At 39.0% G+C, this 18,671-nt stretch overlaps 1 protein-coding gene across 3 annotated transcripts in view; it reads right to left on the bottom strand.

Moving 5' to 3' along the window:
* The window catches only part of DERA (deoxyribose-phosphate aldolase), a 126,050-nt gene that overhangs the window by 42,509 nt on the left and 64,870 nt on the right, over positions 1-18,671 (bottom strand). For 2 of the 3 annotated variants that reach the window (XM_024449001.2, NM_015954.4), the window contains exon 6: positions 12,437-12,565. The exons of the other annotated variant lie outside the window; for it this stretch is intronic. In XM_024449001.2, the coding sequence (XP_024304769.1) occupies positions 12,437-12,565 (129 nt within the window). The remainder of the gene's footprint in view (positions 1-12,436; positions 12,566-18,671) is intronic. 3 annotated transcript variants of the gene reach the window in all.

Genomic DNA, 18,671 nt, shown 5'->3' with positions numbered 1-18,671 from the left:
TTTATTACTCTTTTTTCATTTATTCATTCAATAAATATGCATAATCAAGCATCTACCTGGTACAATATACTGAGGGATCCATTCAAGGATTCCAATTTCCCACCATTTTAAGAATTTTCTGGCCAGGCGCGGTGGCTCACGCCTGTAATCCCAGCACTTTGGGAGGCCGAGGTGGGTGGATCGCGAGGTCAGGAGATCGAGACCATGCTGGCTAACATGGTGAAACCCCGTCTCTACTAAAAATACAAAAAATTAGCCAGGCGTGGTTGCAGGCGCCTGTAGTCCCAGCTATTCAGGAGGCTGAGGCAGGAGAATGGCGTGAACCCGGGAGGCAGAGCTTGCAGTGAGCAGAGATCGCGCCACTGCACTCCAGCCTGGGCGACAGAACGAGACTCCGTCTCAAAAAAAAGAATTTTCTAATAGATCAGTAACCACGTGGCACAGATATTAAGGAATAAATAACCAAGAGTTAATATGCTAGGAATTACAGATAAAGGAATAACAGAATCTCAGACACATGAACACAGGTCTAGCCTCTATGTCATGTGCCAGAATTTCACTTAGAAAATAAAATCCCTTAATGTTTAAAGGGGAAATACAGCTTTATTTAAAAATTGGTTTCTATACAAGTTGATTACAGATATATCATTGATGCCACTGTACTCATATGTGTGATACCTGAATCTATCAGCAAGCATGTACTAGGCATTTACTATGTACCAGTCTTTGCACCTGTGAATTTTTCTAGGCAAGTTAGGTCTGCAAGAAGCAGTTCTGTGATTTTGGAATATGTTGGGCTACATTTTTCACAATTTCAGACAATAAAATTTTACACAGACCAGAAAATATGCCACATAAAAAACTAAGCTTTTTCTTTTCTCTCTTTTTCTTTCTTCACAGAAGCCCAACCATGAAGAAACAAAGAAAACATTTTATGTTTAAATGTCTGTCATATACTCAACCTTTTCTTTAAAAGGATATGCATGTACCAAAATACACCATCAGTAGTTCCTGCATTGCTGGGAAGCCAGAAAATACGATAACTTCTTTCCTCTACAGAGCTCTGTGTTTTCCACTCAACAAAGGATAGCGAGGGGCCAGGTGGGGGTAAACTTTATAAAATTTTTGCTTGGGGACCTGAATTTAAATCTATTCCATGGATGAGACAGCAAGTTAATTAGTTTTCACCCTATAAGTAGTCTAATTTCCAGGGCTAGTTTAAGGAACTGTAAATAAATGTACACTTTAAATCTTTTATCTCTTAACCCAATACAAACTATGGTCTTATGCTTTCCCCAGTGATGAAGTTTCAGTTGTAGCATACCTTTTCATAAATTAAATGCTTTTTCCTATGAAAGGCAAGATCTTATTTTTTTTAAAAAAAAAAAAAAAGGCCACAACACCACAGGAGTCTAGATGTGCCATCTGGATCAATACTCCTTGAGTATACAAAGACTTGCAGCCTAAGAGGAGGGATTCCATGTAACTTGTGACAATCTTTAGAAAAATAAATCGACATTGTCATTTACTTTACTATTTGATGCATATTTAAATTTTCAAAAATATATTTTTTAAAATCTTAGATACTAATTTCCTATTAATCACCACATTTTTTTAGTGTTTTGGTTTCATTCAGTCATAGCGTTTCCCACTACTTTTCCCCTTTATTTTATTTTTTGATGGCTTCCCCTATATTCTCTTATTTCTCCGCTTCCTCTCATTGTTTCTGTATTACTTTGATCTTATTGGGTTGAATTTTGAATGTTCCCTCCCCTGGATTCTACCTTTTTCATGTTTCATTTTCTACACGTTGCAAAATTCCAGCCAAGTTCAAAACTCATTTTGTATTCCTTCAAGGTCTGCTTTTCTCAAGCCCCATATTTTTGTGTTAGTACTCTTCCCACAGATCTTCATCGGCAATTCAAACCTGATGACATTATGATTGCATCTTTAGTGCTTTTCTACTCCAACCTTATTTATCATGCCTGCATTATTTCCAAAGATAAGGTCTAGAATAACTTCAGAGCGGAGCTTGTTAACTGTTGAGTGTGTGCGAACAGTCCACCGCTACTGAAAGATAAAGCCACTTTTCTACATTCTGGCATTATTCTTAATGTGTGCATTTGCTGGGCTGAAATCCCTTAGCAGTAGATTGACCTGCTTTACACTTCTCTTTTCTGTAAGTATGTTTCCCTATCTTATGTCCTATCATCTTGTTCTTGGATTGTTCAAGGAAAAAAGTATAGCTCTCTTTTTTCTTCTCTGATTATACTCCCTTCAAATTGTTTGCTCCTACTTTAGTTCCTCCTGTATTTGTACTTCCCTTACCACATTTCCACTAATGTACATGGAAGATCAATTTTTCTTCAACCCCAAAACCAAAGCAAAAAGTTCTCCCTGGTTCTTCCTTGCCTCCAGATCCATCTCCACATTCTTACAGATCATTAATATCCTTGTCATACCTTACATTGCTTTAGAAATACAATATCCTTGTTAAAATATAAATTGTCTCTCTTTTTGTTCAACTAAAATAAGAGTTGCCCTCTAAAATAACATGTTCAAATTCTACAAGATTTTGGCACATCTGGAAAGAGGCATCTAAATTTTCAAATTTCTTTTTGCTTCTTTTCACTTTTCCTTATCTCTATCTTTTTTCTCTCTTTCACTCATTCATTGGTGTATATGGAAATATATTCTTAGGCTCTACTATATGCCAGGTTTGATAGTAATCGCAGAGGAATAAAGTTAAGGAAGGTGTGGTCCTTAGCCCAGGGAAGAGCACAGTTTTGAAAAAAAAAAAAAATCTAACAGGTAAAACAGTTGATGCTGATACTATGTTACAAATGCTACTGGTATTTGCAACTGTCCTAAGAGTATAACAGCATGATCAATTAATTCTGCCTTTGCATAATCAATAGGAGGTTTGACAGAGTACAGAAATTTTATTTAAATCTTTTAAAATGGCCAAGGAGTGGGGACAAAGCTATAACAGAGAGAGGAACTGGTAAAACAAAGACAGAAGTACCTGGAATGTTTCCAAACATCAATAATGACCATATAGAACAAAAGCAAAAAGATCTTTCTGACTAATATTCTAATTGTATCATGTAAGAGTACCTACTTCATAGGGTTGCTGTGAAGATTAAATGTAAATGTGCATAGATCATCGAAACACTGTCCAACTCATAGTAAATGCTCAAAAAACTTGAGCTATTATGACATTGTTGTTGTATGATAGATTCGATTATATATTTTTCATCTATTTAAAATGCTTTTATTTGTTTCTGGTTCCTGCCTTGGTTCTGGATAATTACAGCTGCTGATTAAGTGACTGTCAGTTAAAAGATTTTTATTTGGATACATGTCTGAAGAGCTGATGTTGCTGCTATGGCATCCAAAATAAAAAATTTAAAAGAACTGTTACATAAACATGGCTAAAAAAGAAACTATCAACAGAATAAACAGACAACCTACAGAATGGGAGAACATTTTTGCAAACTATGCATCCAAAAAAGGTCTAACTTCCAGCATCTCTAAGGAACTTAAACAAATTTACAAGAAAAAGCAAACAACCCCATTAAAAAGTGGGCAAAGGATATGAACAGGCACTTTTCAAAAGAAGACATACATGTGGCCAACAATCATGAGAAAAAGTTCAACATCACTGATTATTAGAGAAACGCAAATCAAAACCACAATGAGATACCATCTCACACCAATCAGAATGGATAAAATTAAGAAGTCAAAAAATAACAAATGCTGGCGAGGTTGTGGAGAAAAAGGACCTATTTTACACTGTTGGTGGGAGTGTAAATTAGTTCAGCCATCATGGAAAACAATATGGCGATTCCTCAAAGATCTAAAGACAGAAATACCTTTCGACCCAGGAATCCCATTACTGTGTATACACCCAAAGGGATATAAATCATTCTATTGTAAAGACACATGTATGCATATGTTCATCGCAGCAATACTCACAACAGCAAAGACATGGAATCAATGTAAATGTCCATCAATGATAGACTGGATAAATAAAATGTGGTGTATATATATGCACCATGGACTACTATCCAGCCATAAAAAAAGAATGAGATCATATCCTTTGCAGGGACATGGATGGAGCTGGAGGCCATTATCCTTAGCAAACTAACACGGGAACAGAAAACCAAATACCAAATGCTCTCACTTATAAGTGGGAGCTAAATGATGACAACACATAGACACATCAAGGAGAATAACAGACACTGGGGTCTTTTGGAGTTTGGAGGGTGGAAGGAGGAAGAGGATCAGAAAAAACGACAAATGGATACTCAGATTAACATCTGGGTAAGGAAATAATCTGTACAACAAAACCCCATGACACAAGTTCACCTATGTAACAAACCTGTACTTGTACCCCTGAACTTAAAAGTTAAAAATAAAACTAAAAACAAAACAAAACAAAAAAGAACATGGAAAGTAGCGTACCACAAACATATCATTAACTAGACCACATCTAATTGTGATTCTCAATTAATCATTCTTTTGTACCTTTCTTTTTGAATACAGAGGCAAGTGTTAGCAAAGTAAGTTCAAATATAAGATTCATTGAACAATTCTGCTAATATAGTAAGCTTTGGAATCAGTACAGAAAGAAATCCAGCTCAATGTCATTTGTCTCCCCTACAGCTACACCAAATGGTTTTGAAGGGTTATGCTCTAAATAATGCCTTGAAAGAGTATAGAAAAAAAAAGATTTCATTATGTTTCCTTTCTTATTGACGTAGGATGGAGAAGGAAGGTATACTAATATTTTTCAATAACTTGCAAAGTACTTTATTTACAGTTTATGATGCACTCACATACCTTGCTGCATTTGAATTGATAACCAGATTAATTTATTTGTTCAAGGTCACAAAATATGCAAGACAGAACAAGAGTTCTGGTCTTCTGACTGTGTTCCTTGCTCTAAAACATTTTGAAAGATTTCTAAACAAGATTAAACCAATAATCCTTACAGTTTAGACTACTAACATTTAGTTGACCAAAGTTGTTTAACACAATTTTACTTACAATGATGTGTAAGACCAGACTAACATAGTTAGATATCTCTACCTGGTCTCCAAAGAATTTCTTTTTGACCATAATCTAAATGGCTACAAAAATTATAAAATAAATTGTTATGAATGTAATGACAAATGGTTTCCCTTTGAGATTCTGATTCTAAATTAATGGGAAAACAAAAACAGAGAAGAATAACAGACATAACAGAATGTCACCAGACTCGCCCTCCTGCTATAAATAACAATAAAACTCAGGCACTAAAAAATTAAAAGCTCAAAATACAGACCCTTGAAATAACCCAGCTGTACAAATTAGCACATAAGGCTTTAAATCAGCTATTACAAATATACTCAAGTACTTAAAGGAAAATATGATCTCAACCAGTGAAAAAGTGGGGACATGTCAGTAGAGAAATAAAAATTATAAAAAAGAATCAAATGGAAATTCTAAACTAAAAATGTACAGCAGCATACATTTCACTGGATAGGCTTAAAAGCCAATTTGAAATAGAAAATAAGGATCAAAGTGATGGCAGCAGTGGCCTGTCTGGAGCAGCCACCGTGGGGATGCCAGTTGCAGCGGGGGAGGCGTGGCTAGGGCTGCACACTCCGTGGAGCTGGTGAGGTCTGGGAACAGGTGGGAGCTCCACCCTCTACCATGTTGGTAGGGCAGGAGCCCTGTGCTCCCAGGGGCAGCTGCATCCAACAAGCCACATCTCCAGACCCAGGCATTCCTGTGCTCTTAGAAGCCTGGGAAGCCCTCTACCCCTGCAGGCTCAGAAGTACCTGGTCCCACTCCCTGGCCTCTCCCTACTCCTGGAGCCTTCTCCACTGCGGAGCAAAGCTGTGGCTGAGCCTGGATGCTGCCGCAATCTGGCTGAGTGTGCACACATTCAGGGCAGCGCTGACACGCCAGCCTCCCACCGCCTTGGCCCCCTCTGGACTTTGGGCGACAACAAGCATAGGAGAAAGGCCAAGGGGCTGAGGGCAGCTTGGTGTGGGTCTGCAGGCGCCCCTCAGTGTGAATAGCCTGGGTGCCGTGGACAACATGATGATGGTGGTGGGAGGCAGACAGGTTCCTAGGCAGGAAGGGATGGGTCCCTGGTGAAGCCCCACCTTCATGCCAGGGATGGCCTGAAGCCTGGGAACCAGGCTGCCAGGTCTGAGTGAAGGCCACAGCCTGGAGTGAGAACTTCATTGATGACCATTCAGGCAGTCCGATGGTGCTTTTTCCAGGCCCATCCATGGCCGCCCATGGACCAATCAGCATGCACTTCCTTCATTCTGAGCATATAAAAACCTCAGACTCAGTCAGACTCACACACTCACAGGGACGACCTGCCTGCAAAAAGGAGCTACCCACTACAGGTCTCCTCTCTACTGAGAGCTGGACACTTGTTGGGATGACCTGCCTGCAGAAAGGAGCTACTTGCTTTGGGTCTCCTGACAGCTGTTCTGTTGCTTAATGAAGCTCCTCTGTGCCTTGCTCACCCTCCAGTTGTCCAAGTACTTCTTTCTTCCTGGACACAGGACAAGAACTCAGGACCCACCAAATGGCGGGACTGAAAGAGCTGTAACACAAACAGGGCTAAAACATGCCCCCGACTCACCACATTGCAGGTAACGAGAAGGAAGAAGGAGCTGCGGCCCTTCTGGGAGCCCAGAACTCAGGGCTCCCCCAGCTAGGCCTGTGACATGCTGTAACACCCTCTTTGGGGCTCTGTGGTTCCTGGTGTCTCCAAGTTTTTGGGCACCATGTGTTCCCCTTGTCCAGATGCTGGTGCCCACAGCAGAAGCTGCTTGTGGTACGTCTGGTCCAGCCACAGCCTCGCATGGAGTCTGCACCTGGAGCTGCCCACCCTGCCGCAGCTGATGTGCCTGGCTGTGCACAGTGGCTGGACCCCGCGTGCACTCACTCACACATCCCTTGCCACTCCGCGCCTGGCTTGCCCTTGGCAGCTGTGCGACCCAGGCCAGCAGTGTGAGCCAAGTGCAGCCTGCCGGGCCAAGTGGGTGGAACAAGTCCAGCAACCAGGAGCAAAACTCAAGCAGAAGTGCACGGAGGTTTCTGACTGGCAAAGCGACACCCTAAAGATCCTGTGACAAAAGAACTTGAATAAAGATCCATGTAACCAATCAGGAGAACAGAGGAGAAAAGAAGATTAAAAATAAAACAAACAGGACCTCAGTAACCTATAGGATAATATCAAATAGTCTAACACTCATGTACTTGGGGTCCGAGAAGGAAAGACCAATAGAATGGGGTAGAAGATGCATTTAAAAATATGGTTTTAGGCTGGGCACAGTGGGTTACATCTGTAATCCCAGCACTTTGGGAGGTCAAGGTAGGCGGATCACCTGAGGTCAGGAGTTTCAGACCAACCCGGCCAATATGGTGAAACCCTGTCTCTACTAAAAATACAAAAATTAGCCAGGCGTGGTAGTGTACACCTGTAACCCCAGCTACTCAGGAGGCTGAGGCAGGAGAATCACTTGAACCTGGGAGGTGGAGGTTGCAGTGAGCTGAGATCACGCCATTGCACTCCAGCCTGGGTGACAGAGCCAGACTATGTCTCAAAAAAAAAAAAAAAAAAAAAAAAGTACATATATATGGTTTTGAAAACGTCCTAAACTGTTAGAAAACATCAACCTCCAAATCCAAGCAGCTCAGAAAAGTTCAGGATAAATACAAAGAAAACCATACTTAGGTCGGTTGTGGTCAAATTACTGGGAAAACAAAAAAGACAAAAGGAAAATATTGATTGACCATAGCTAGAGTAAGATAAGATATTACATACAAGGAAACAAGAAGAAATGGGATTCCAAGAAATGGAATGACTTATTTAAAGGCTGAAACAAGAAAATGCTCAACCCAGAACTCTATATTCAGCAAACTATCCTTAGAACATGGGGGTGAAATAAAGACATTTTCAGACGAATAAAACCAGAAAGAACTCATCATCAGCAGACCTGTACTGCAAAAAATACCCAGGGAAGTTTCCCAGACTGAATTATACAAGATGGAAACTCATATTTATAGGAAGAAATAAAGACTAAAGTGATACATTTAGGGAAAACATAAAATACTAGCTTATCTTAGTTTTTTCTTTGTTAATGTCCTCAAAAGACAAGTGACTGTTAAAAATTCGTATCATTGTAGTAAGAGGTTTGTAATATATATAGAAAAGAACATTAAAATAACTCAAAGAACCAATGAGGATGTAAATTAAACTGTTGTAAGGTTCTTCCATTTGTGACATGTATAGTGAAACAACATTAATTCCAAGTAGACTGTGAAAAATTAAGGATGCACATTGTTAGAGCAACCACTTAAAAATTTTGTGCAAAGAGTCTGTAGATAAAAAGCCAACAGAAGATACAAAATGTTACAAGATAGCTAATGAACCCAAAAGGTTGCAAGAAAAGAGGAACCAAAAATAGATTCAAACAAACAGGAAAAAGTTTGCAAGATGACAGACTTAACTCCTACTATATCAATTACATGAAATGTAAATGAATAAAACACTCTAAAAAGTAGAAACTGTCATAATAGATTAGAAAAGAAATGCCTACAAGAGATACATTTTAAATATATAGCCACAGATGGGTTGAAAATAAAAAGATGGAAAAAAATATATACCATGCAAGTATTAAACACAAGAAAGCTGGTGTGGCCAGATGAACATCATTAGTAGACATTCAGACAAGGACTAGTATCAGAGATAAAAAGGGACGTTTCATAATGACAAATGTGCTACTTCAACAGGTAAACATAACAATCCTAAAGGTATATATACATAAGAGAGCTCCAAAATACATGATGAAAAAACTGACAGACGAAAGGGATAACCAGACAAATCCACAATCATGTTTGGAGACTTTAACACTCTCTTAGTAATAAACAGAACCAGTAGACCAAAAAGAAAACAAAACTAGATCTGAAAAACATTATCAACCAATTCGATCTGACATTTGCTCTAACATCTGAAATACACATTCTTTTAAGTGCACTTGAAGCATATAACTAAATACAACCATAAAATGAGCTACAAAATAACTGTTAATTCCAAAAGACAAAAGATTCTTACAATGGATACTCTCTGAGGATAACAAAATCTTAAATTATAAAGCAACAATAGGATATCCATAAAAGCACAAAATATTTGGAAAGTAAATATCTCATTGTAAATAGCACTCTAAATAACAAAAGAGATCACAAGGGAAATTAGAAAATAACTTTCACTGAAAAGTAATGAAAAAAAAACAACAAAATAAAAACTTGGCTCTCTGAAAAGATTAATAAAATTGGCAAAGCCCTAGCATGAACAAGCAGAGGAGGAAAGAAAAGCAAAAACAACAACAGGAAAGGAAACAAAAATGACCAATATCAAGAATAAAGAAAGAGATATAACTACAGATCCCACAGATATCAGAATGGAAGAACATATTATAAACAACATTATGCCAACAATTTTAGCAACTCAGTATACTTACACAGTGAAATACTTCTAGGCAAACTCCTTAAGATCTCTTATCTCTTATTTTTAGTGAGGGCAAAACAAACCAAAAACAAAGCACCCAAGAGTTCACACTATGTGATTAGATAATGTTCTAATACTGGCAAAGCTAAGCATGGTGATAAAAGTAGAAAAGTGGTTGCAGCGGGGACAGCAGGTGAGCTGAGTGGAGGCGACTATAAAGGGACACAAAGATATTTCTAGGAGGATGGAAATGATCTGTGTCTTGAAGGGAGTAGTGGTTACAGGTGTTTGCAAACTGCCAAACTCATCACACTGTCTATCTAACACCTGAATTTTACTGAATGCAAATCTGCCTCAATGAAATTGATTTAAGAAAAAATTTTTTATACCACCACAGAAGTAGAATACAGAATTTAGTCAGAAATTTGTAAATTACTTTTGGGGAGATTAGTTTGTGCAAGTTACATATAAAATTGGGACAAGAATATAAAAAATATTTCAAAATATTTCAAGTTCATCAAAGAATACTTCAATTCTATTATATACCTTCTTAACAGAGTAGGAAGTATAAACTATAGGCCAGGAAGTATGCTACATGCTTTCATATATTATGCCTCACAAAGATTGTGTCTTTCATTCATGATAAAATCTAGTGTGTGCCTTGGGAAATAGCCATGTTACAAGTGAAAAAGCAATAAATCTGGAGCCAGAAGACCAGAGTGTTCAAATAGTGATACAGGTTATTTATTAGCTTTGTGACCTTAAACAAGTCACACAATCCTAGATTTCTTCCACTCCAGGACTGATGTGAGGACGAAGGAATATTGTTTCAATGTACCTGGTAAAGCACACCATGAATACGGTTTTATTACTCATACTAAGTGCTCAACAAACACTGCTTAAATGAAGAAATGAAGTGGATAAACAACATGAACAGAGAAACAAGCAGACAGGAAGAAATAAAGGGACATGTTTATAATCACATTTTTTTCTGTGGACAGGATGGGTGGAGGGTGGGACACAGCTTCCAAAGCGTGATGACCTAATACCACATTTGTATCATGAGTAGTAGGTGCTGTGCGTAGGACAGGGTTGGCTGACCTCCCAGAATGAATACACTTTCATTGTGACCAGGATAACAGCTGGGGTAACAGGTATCACAAGATTGGCTCCGATGTGACCCTGAGGAGTATCTCAGCTCCATGTGCACAACCAACAGCGTGGCTACCACAAAGTATGTCCTATAAGTGGCTGCTGTTATTCGTTTCCAAACTTTTACTTTGTTACCTGGGCTAACAATCACTTGTGCTGGCAAGCAGCATAAAGGGGGGCTACCTGTACACCAAGTAGCCTCCAAGGGGCTTTTCCCAGGTTCCTAAGAGGCACAGTGAGTCTTCTACTGTGAATCTTTGAAATGCCAACATCACTGATGAACAACTGTTCAAAGTGTTCCATCCCTTCTCATCCTTAGGTTTTTCTGAGATTTTGCTCTCAGATAACAACTGCAGATATTTTCTAGATACAGCAGTTGTGCCCAGAGCAACAGCACCATTGCTGACTAGTAGGCTGATTTTCAGTAGAGTTCCAAGGAATGATCTACTAGGCCTGACAGAGCACTCAAGAAGTACACAAGAATATGGCTGGCCCAGATTCAAGACCAGAGAAACCAGGTATCTTCATCCAAATATAGGGCCCCTAGAAGGACACCTAGAAATTCAACACTCAATCACAATGTCATGTGATAAGTTATATGATAGGGCTTTTACTTGAATGCCGTGGGGACACACAGAGGAGATAATGGGCCAAACAGCAGGGGGAGAAGCAGTGTCAGGGGAAATAATTCCTGAAAAAGGTGGTACCTGTGCTGAACCCCAAGATGTGGAGTTATTTGGGCAAAAGGCATTCCGGGCAGGAGGCACAGAACGTACAAAGACTCAAAAGGTTGGATGGCACCATCTGCAGAGAAGTGCAAGTAACTCTACCTGGCTGGAGAACATGGTGTGAAGGGAAAATGACACAGCAGAGGCACAGCCAGGGTCTTAGGAAGGACCTTTTTAAAATAAGAATCAAGGAATGTACACTTTACCATAAAGATGAAGGGAAACCACTGAAGGAATTTTAAGCAAGCAGTACCATAATAAAATTAGCATTAAAAAAAAATTGTGGTGACAGTGTGGAGAACAGATTGGAGGGGAACAAAAGTCAGGAAGACAGGGGAACAGCTGAAGTAATCCCTGTGGAGGAGGATGGTGGCCTAAGACAGCAGCACTTAGAATGGAGGGAAGATGTGTCAGACACAGCAAAGAGGTCTAGAGAGAACTCTCAAGGCTTCTTCACTGATTTATGTGAGGTGAGAAAAAGAAAGAACCAAGCATGACTCCTAGGCTGCAAGCTTGGATGTCTAAATGGATAGACCTGCTGTTCACAGAGATAAAGAATAAGTCAACTTATATTTGAAAGTATAAAAATCAATGATACTGCACTAAATTTTAAAACATTAACACAAACAAAAGCAGAGGCTGTCTCAGATAGTATGGATATATATCTCTGAGATAAATGAAAAGCTTAAATTCAGAGAGGAGTAAGTCAAAGAAATTCCTGTCTAACATATGTTGATGAGTGAATAATCAAAGAATAAAACAGAAGGCAATTCACTAACAAGAGAGCCATCTACTGCCTTATAAGCATAGTGCAGCAATGAAATGCCACACACACACAAAAAAAAATGTGGAAGAAAGCCAGGAGTTTTTGACCACTTCACATTGAACATGTTTTTACAAAATATCCGATTCCTCCCGCAAAAAAATTCCAAGTGGTTAGCACGTTTAATAATAGCTAAATGCTTTCACTTACTTAATTTCTCCTAAAAACATCAATTCAATAGAAAACATTATTTGAACATAAAACACTTACCTGCCATCATTGCTATCATACTGGCTTTATAGACATTAGTAAGAGTTCCAAGTTCTCCTGTCGCTAATATAGTTTTAAGATGAGCCTCCCCACAGGCCTTGCGAAACTGACGAATCTCATCATACAGGGCTGGGGAAGAAAATAATTGAGGCAGTTACAAAGCAGGCAAGTGATAACATAACTTGGCAGCCGTTTAGAGCTGGTGGAACCCATTTCACATTTAGGAAACATAAAACATTTGTCACTTTCTAAAAATCACCCCAATTTAACATTGCCTGGAGCATTCTGTTGCAGTTCACATCCTGTTACAAGGAATGCTTAGTTTGCTACCATGAAACCGTTTCTAAGCCCTGGCCTGAGGTCCAGAGACATAGAGCTTTTTAAATATCATAATGACATGCAAATTATAAATAATTTCTGTCTTGTCCATATGATGGTTGCTTCCAACAAAAAACAAATGTAGCTACCATACATACAGTGGTGTACCCCTTTGCAAAGTAATAAAAAAAAATCTTAGGTTCTTATTAATTCTTCCATTCACAAGTAATAGGTTCTTTGGTTGGATATAAAGCACACCTTTCTTGAGAGTTATGTTCATGACAATAAAGACACAGCAGCTTGCCCCACTGCCTGCCAGAGTATGTTTATATATCTGACTAAAAAGTGTTAGGCCTGGCCAGGTAGTGCTGGACGCATGTGTACAAAGCCATCTCTGCAGGGAGGCTCAGAGATGCTGCCTTAAATCTGTTAACCCCTGAGCCCATGACCCCAGTACCACATCTGGCTTTGGAGGGTTCCACATTGGGCCCAGATTTATTTCATATTTCATATTCAAGGTAACATTTTACATGAAAGGTAGCAGGATTTTAGTAAGCAAATTAGACCAAAATCATGTGTATTAAATCTTTAAAAAATTATTTAAGTCTTTTGTCAATGATACTAGTGAATTTTGGCTTTTTCAGGCCGGCCACTATCATTTCTTGAACTCAGGCTACTGCCATGGTAACAAGACCAAGGCTTTTTCTTTCCTTTGTATTTGAGTATCTTTCATAGGAAGTAGGTTTTTTTGTTTTTTGTTTTTTGGTTTTTGAGATGGAGTCTTGCTCTGTCACCCAGGCTGGAGTGCAGTGGCGTGATCTCAGCTCACTGCAACCTCCGCCTCTGGGGTTCACGCCATTCTCCTGCCTCAGCCTCCCGAGTAGCTGGGACTACAGGCGCCTGCCACCACGCCTGGGTAACTTTTTGTAGTTTTAGTAGAGACGGGGTTTCACCGTGTTAACCAGGATGGTCTCGATCTCCTGATCTGGTAATCCGCCTGCCTCAGCGTCCCAAAGTGCTGGGATTACAGGTGTGAGCCACGGTGCCCGGCCCATAGGAAGTAGTTTTATAAACATACAGAGTAAACCAAGCAGGAGGGAAACATTCATAATAAGGGTTGGGGTAAGCATTTCTTAAAGCTAAAATGAGAGTTCTATAATTCACAGGCTTAGTAAAGTACATTTAGAAAAATGAAAAATTAGTCTCAGTTAAAACCACAAGTTATAACAGCCAAATAAAGCTTGCCTTCTCAATCACAGAAAACATGAACTTGAAGCTCAGAAGTGAAAAATGAAGAGAAATGAAAGCAAATATTCTATTCCAAGATGCTCAGTAAGTTTAGAAAGTTTGTTACCACTGAGAGATGGTACCCACAGAAGGTTCAATAAAGAACAGACTATTTTCACAGATCCTTAATAACGTGCAGTTCTGAGTACTAGGGATGATCTGAGATGCCACACCACCTACCTTACCCTGCCCATCTACCTAACCTGGGAGAAAATCATCCTACTTATGCCTCCAATATGACAACCTGTGTAAGAATGTTAAAAATAGTAATAGACTATGGAGCGAAAAAAAAAATTATATTCTTTTAATTCAGAGAATGAATTGGATGGAATGACATTTCTTAAGTTATTGAATCTAAAAAAAGAAACTTGTTTTCTAAGAACAAGTGACAAGGAAAATCTTCTGATCTAAAAATCCAAGAACGCTAATCCAAGTTAACTTGTGATTTAATTAATGATTTTCTTCCACAAAATAGTGTTGTCATTAAAAGCAGGCTTTAGAGTAGGACAAATGCAGATTTAAAACCCAACTCCATCATTTCCTGTGGGACCTTAGGCAAGTTATTTCTGTCAGCATCAGCTCCATCCTTAAAGTGTCAATAATATTTACTTTACAGGGTTACCAGGAATGAGAGAGAGATATACAAAGTACTTTGCATACTGCCTGACATGTTATAAGCACTCAAAAAGTTTAATTATTAAGTTCAGAATTCTAGTAAAATGAATTTCCACTAAGTGTTGTGTTATAAAAGTCAAATCTTATTTCATGGCCTGACCCAGTTCCAGTAACCAAAGTTCTGTTGGATTACTGCTTACAATCAGTGAGCCATCAGACAAGGCTGGAAAGTATTTTATTACAGCAGTTGTTAAAGTGAACTTTGGCCTGTAAAACAAATTCTTAAAACACTGATCACGACCATATTTGTGAACAAAAAAACACCATCCTTTTTCTAGAGTACTACCTTCTGATGCCAAGTGAATTTCTTGAAGTATAGTTAAAATTAACCACGAAAACCAGAGGTATTTTATGATTCAGTCATTTGGAAGTTATACTCTTTAATCCATGATCCAAACAGAATGAACTGCAAGTGGTCACTTAGAGCATAACTGGATTTACAAATATGCAACCAATGTCTTCTCATTCTTTAACTGCCAATTTCTAAAATCATTTTACTGGCCTATTTTACCACATAACAGGATCAAGTTTTTCTGAGAAAATATCTTAATCTTTAAGGTTCAACAGGTGGAAAGTTGTCATTTCTTTCTGTTACCATTCTGCCCAAAATATATCAGAACAATTAAATCAAAAGTTATACCAAATCTGGTCTTTTTAAAATGTGACCTGGGCTCTATCAAGTGATTGCTTCTACTCAGGCCTTTGAATCTTAAAGAGTGAGGCAAAGATGAAAGAATAGTTAGATATTTTCTTTATTATTGTGGCATCAGCAATAGCAGGAGATCCAAAAGTCCAGTGTCCCAGGGGCCAGCCACCAGCCAACAGTGTGGTACCTGTGCTGGCCAGTAGGAGCAGCACCAGCAGTGGCCCTGGGCCCAAGCTCTTCCTGTGGCACAATCTGACTGTGTTCTCTGCTCCTTATTCCCTCATGGTCCTGCTTTTTTTCCAAGCAAGGCTTCCTACTTATTCAGTGAGCTTCTTTATGTCTTCCTAATATAATAAATTCCCTTTCAGCTTCACTTAATCAGAATTGGTTTTCTTCAACTCATGAATATTTACTGAAGAAGTATAGTATTGTAGACAAAAATGTGGATTCTCCTGAGTATATGGATTCACACCCCAACTTTACTACTAGTTTATTGTTTGATTTGGGTAAGTTACTTAACTCTAAACCTGTCCCATGTTCCTCATTTACAAAATGGGAATGATAGAAGTATGCACACCTCACGGAGTTATTTTCAAACAGGTTAACACACACGAATAGATAAGGACAATATCCAGCACATTGTTCATGCTCAAGGAATGTCAGTTCCTGTTTTCAAAGTTGTTGGTGGCAGCAGTGATGGTGTTCCTGTTATTATTCAGTGCTTATCAGGCTCAGATTACAGAGGGACTTACAAAAGCAGAGGACACCATGATCTATGTTCCTTGAAGAACATAAAATAAAACCTCTTTGGGCCCCTAAAAAAACAGTCTGGGGGAAACGGCTTACTATATATCACAAACAAGTTTGTTTTTAAGCTAAGAACCCATGCTACTTTGAATAGCACAGACTCTTGAGATAAGACATTTTTGCTACTTGCTAGTTGTGTAAACATTTAGGAATTATTCGATTTCTCTAAGCCTAATTACTTAGGGAGGCTCAGTTTGCTCACATATTTTTGTGATGATTAAATAATATATGTTGCTAGAATAGAACCAGGCATTTAGTAGGCAGTTAATCATTCAATACTAGCTTCCCATATTTTCCCTTATACACTTCCAGAAACCCAAAAATAACTTTAACGAACAAAAAATAGCAAGCACTGTCCTAATACTTATGAAAGCACAACTAGAATTTGCCAGTCTTACATATAAGAAAAAATAGACCACTTCACTCCAACACAAGCCATAGAAACCACAAAGAAGCATTATTAGTGTTTAGGTCGTTTTGAGGACTTTGACAGTACCATGATAGACACCTCAGAAACTAGATGAATGACATATGCTAATCAAAGTGGCTTGATGGCTGAAATGTAACCCAGTCAATCTCAAATTATGTCCTTTAACAAACTCAGCTGACACTTTCCTTTCAATACAAATAAGCCAAACAATGGAAAAACGAATGAGCAGGTTTTCCCCTATGTTGGTAGGAAAGGACAATGGTGGGGTATGGAGTTATTATAACTGCTGCTAGACCACATACACAGAGGAAATTACAAGTGAAGCAATAAGTTCAACAGATGCCCTTTCCAAAAAATTTTTCATGAGGAATAATTACTCTAAAGGATGAGAAATCCCCTACGTTTTCAAAGCCTCTTCCCTCAAAAATGCTCAGTGTTCTCCACACGCTATTTAACCATCCATCGTGAGACAATTTGCAGTTACCTCCACACTTCCCATGTGAAGCATGAGATGTAGGCTGGGTGCAGTGGCTCACGCCTATAATCCCAGCACTTTGGGAGGCTAAGGCAGGTGGATCACCTGAGGTCAGGAGTTCGAGACAAGTCTGGCCAACATGGTGAAACCCCGTCTCTACTAAAAAAATGCAAAAAATTAACCAGGCATGGTGGCAAATGCCTGTAATCCCAGCTACTCTCTGGAGGCTGAGGCAGGAGAATCACTTGAACCTGGGAGGCGAAGGTTGCAGTGAGCTGAGATTGCGCCATTGCACTCCAGCCTAGGCAATAAGAGCAAAATTCCATCTCAAAAAAGAAAGAAAGAAAAGTGAGATGTGGAGAGATAAATGACTTGCTCCAAATCTTACTGTGGGTCAGTTATAGAACAGAGAGGAGGAGTCATGTCTTCATACGTGGAATAAAACTGTATTTCCTCAAAATTTTCTGCCTCTATCCCAGCACACACACACATGCATGCACGTGTACACTCACTGCAGTTACAACATATTCCCAGGGAAATACATTGCAGTGCTTCGAGCAACAGATTCGTCAAAACTCAGAACGTAGAAGGATGTCAACTCCCTTCTAGTTCAAACTACTCACTTGACAGATGGGCATTAGAATCCTAGGACCTGGTTTTCATTCTTCTAGGGGAAAAAAGCTGCATAAAATGAAAAGTTCCAAGGTAATGCAGAAACATAAGATACTAAATTTTGTATAATACACTAAAAATGATCTCTAAATTGCTCTTTGTTCCAAGGTAATTCAGAAATATAAGATACTAAATTTTGTATAATACACTAAAAATGATCTCTAAATTGCTCTTTTAGCCCCCTGGATGGGAAGAAAACCAGGGTATGGTGCTACAGTAGAGTTCATATATTTGAATCAGGACTTCTCAGCCCTTGCTTGGCCGCTGATTAGTGGTGTTACTTGGGAAAGTTACTGAACCTCTCCAAGCTTCATTTTTCTCCTCAAGATTAGATAGGAGAGCTTTATTTTTACAGCTCAAACCCTTCTCAAATTCTGCCAATAAATATAAAAGTATTAAAACGGTTAGGAAGGTAATCAATCATTTTTCCTTCAGATCCACCTTTGATAATAAGCACACGTAAAATGATGGTAAACGTTGACTTACTCTAAAAGTTTAAGCTGTTATAATTAAGATGAAAGAGCCTCTTGTTGATTTAGAAAGATGATTCTGAACTCTATCTTTGGGAGCTCTCAACCACAGACAAGGGAGAGCAGGGATTTTCTCAGCCACACACTGCCAAGAAGGTGGAGAGAAACCTAGCCCCCATGTCACTGGGGCCTAGAGAAATTCTTGGCCTGCATGTTGCTACATCATGGCAACATGATGGAGGCGAGGTGAGGGGGACGTGCAGTCAGCTCTGGGGAAAGTGAAGGTCACCCTTACCAGCGAGGACTGAAAATTCTAGGGGTTGGGGAGGACTTGGCAAGTAGAGCCAGGAAGACAACCCGCAGGTTCTAGAGATTGTCAAACACAAAGCAATTGATAAAAAGGCAAATATTGATAAAAAAGATGAATATACTGAAGATAATGGATAATGGGAGCA

The sequence above is a fragment of the Homo sapiens genome, chromosome 12 (genome assembly GCF_000001405.40).
Source record: "Homo sapiens chromosome 12, GRCh38.p14 Primary Assembly".
NCBI classification, from domain to species: Eukaryota; Metazoa; Chordata; class Mammalia; order Primates; family Hominidae; genus Homo; species Homo sapiens.
The sequence above is the reverse complement of the archived record's forward strand: the minus strand, read 5'-3'. Positions and strand labels throughout refer to the sequence as shown.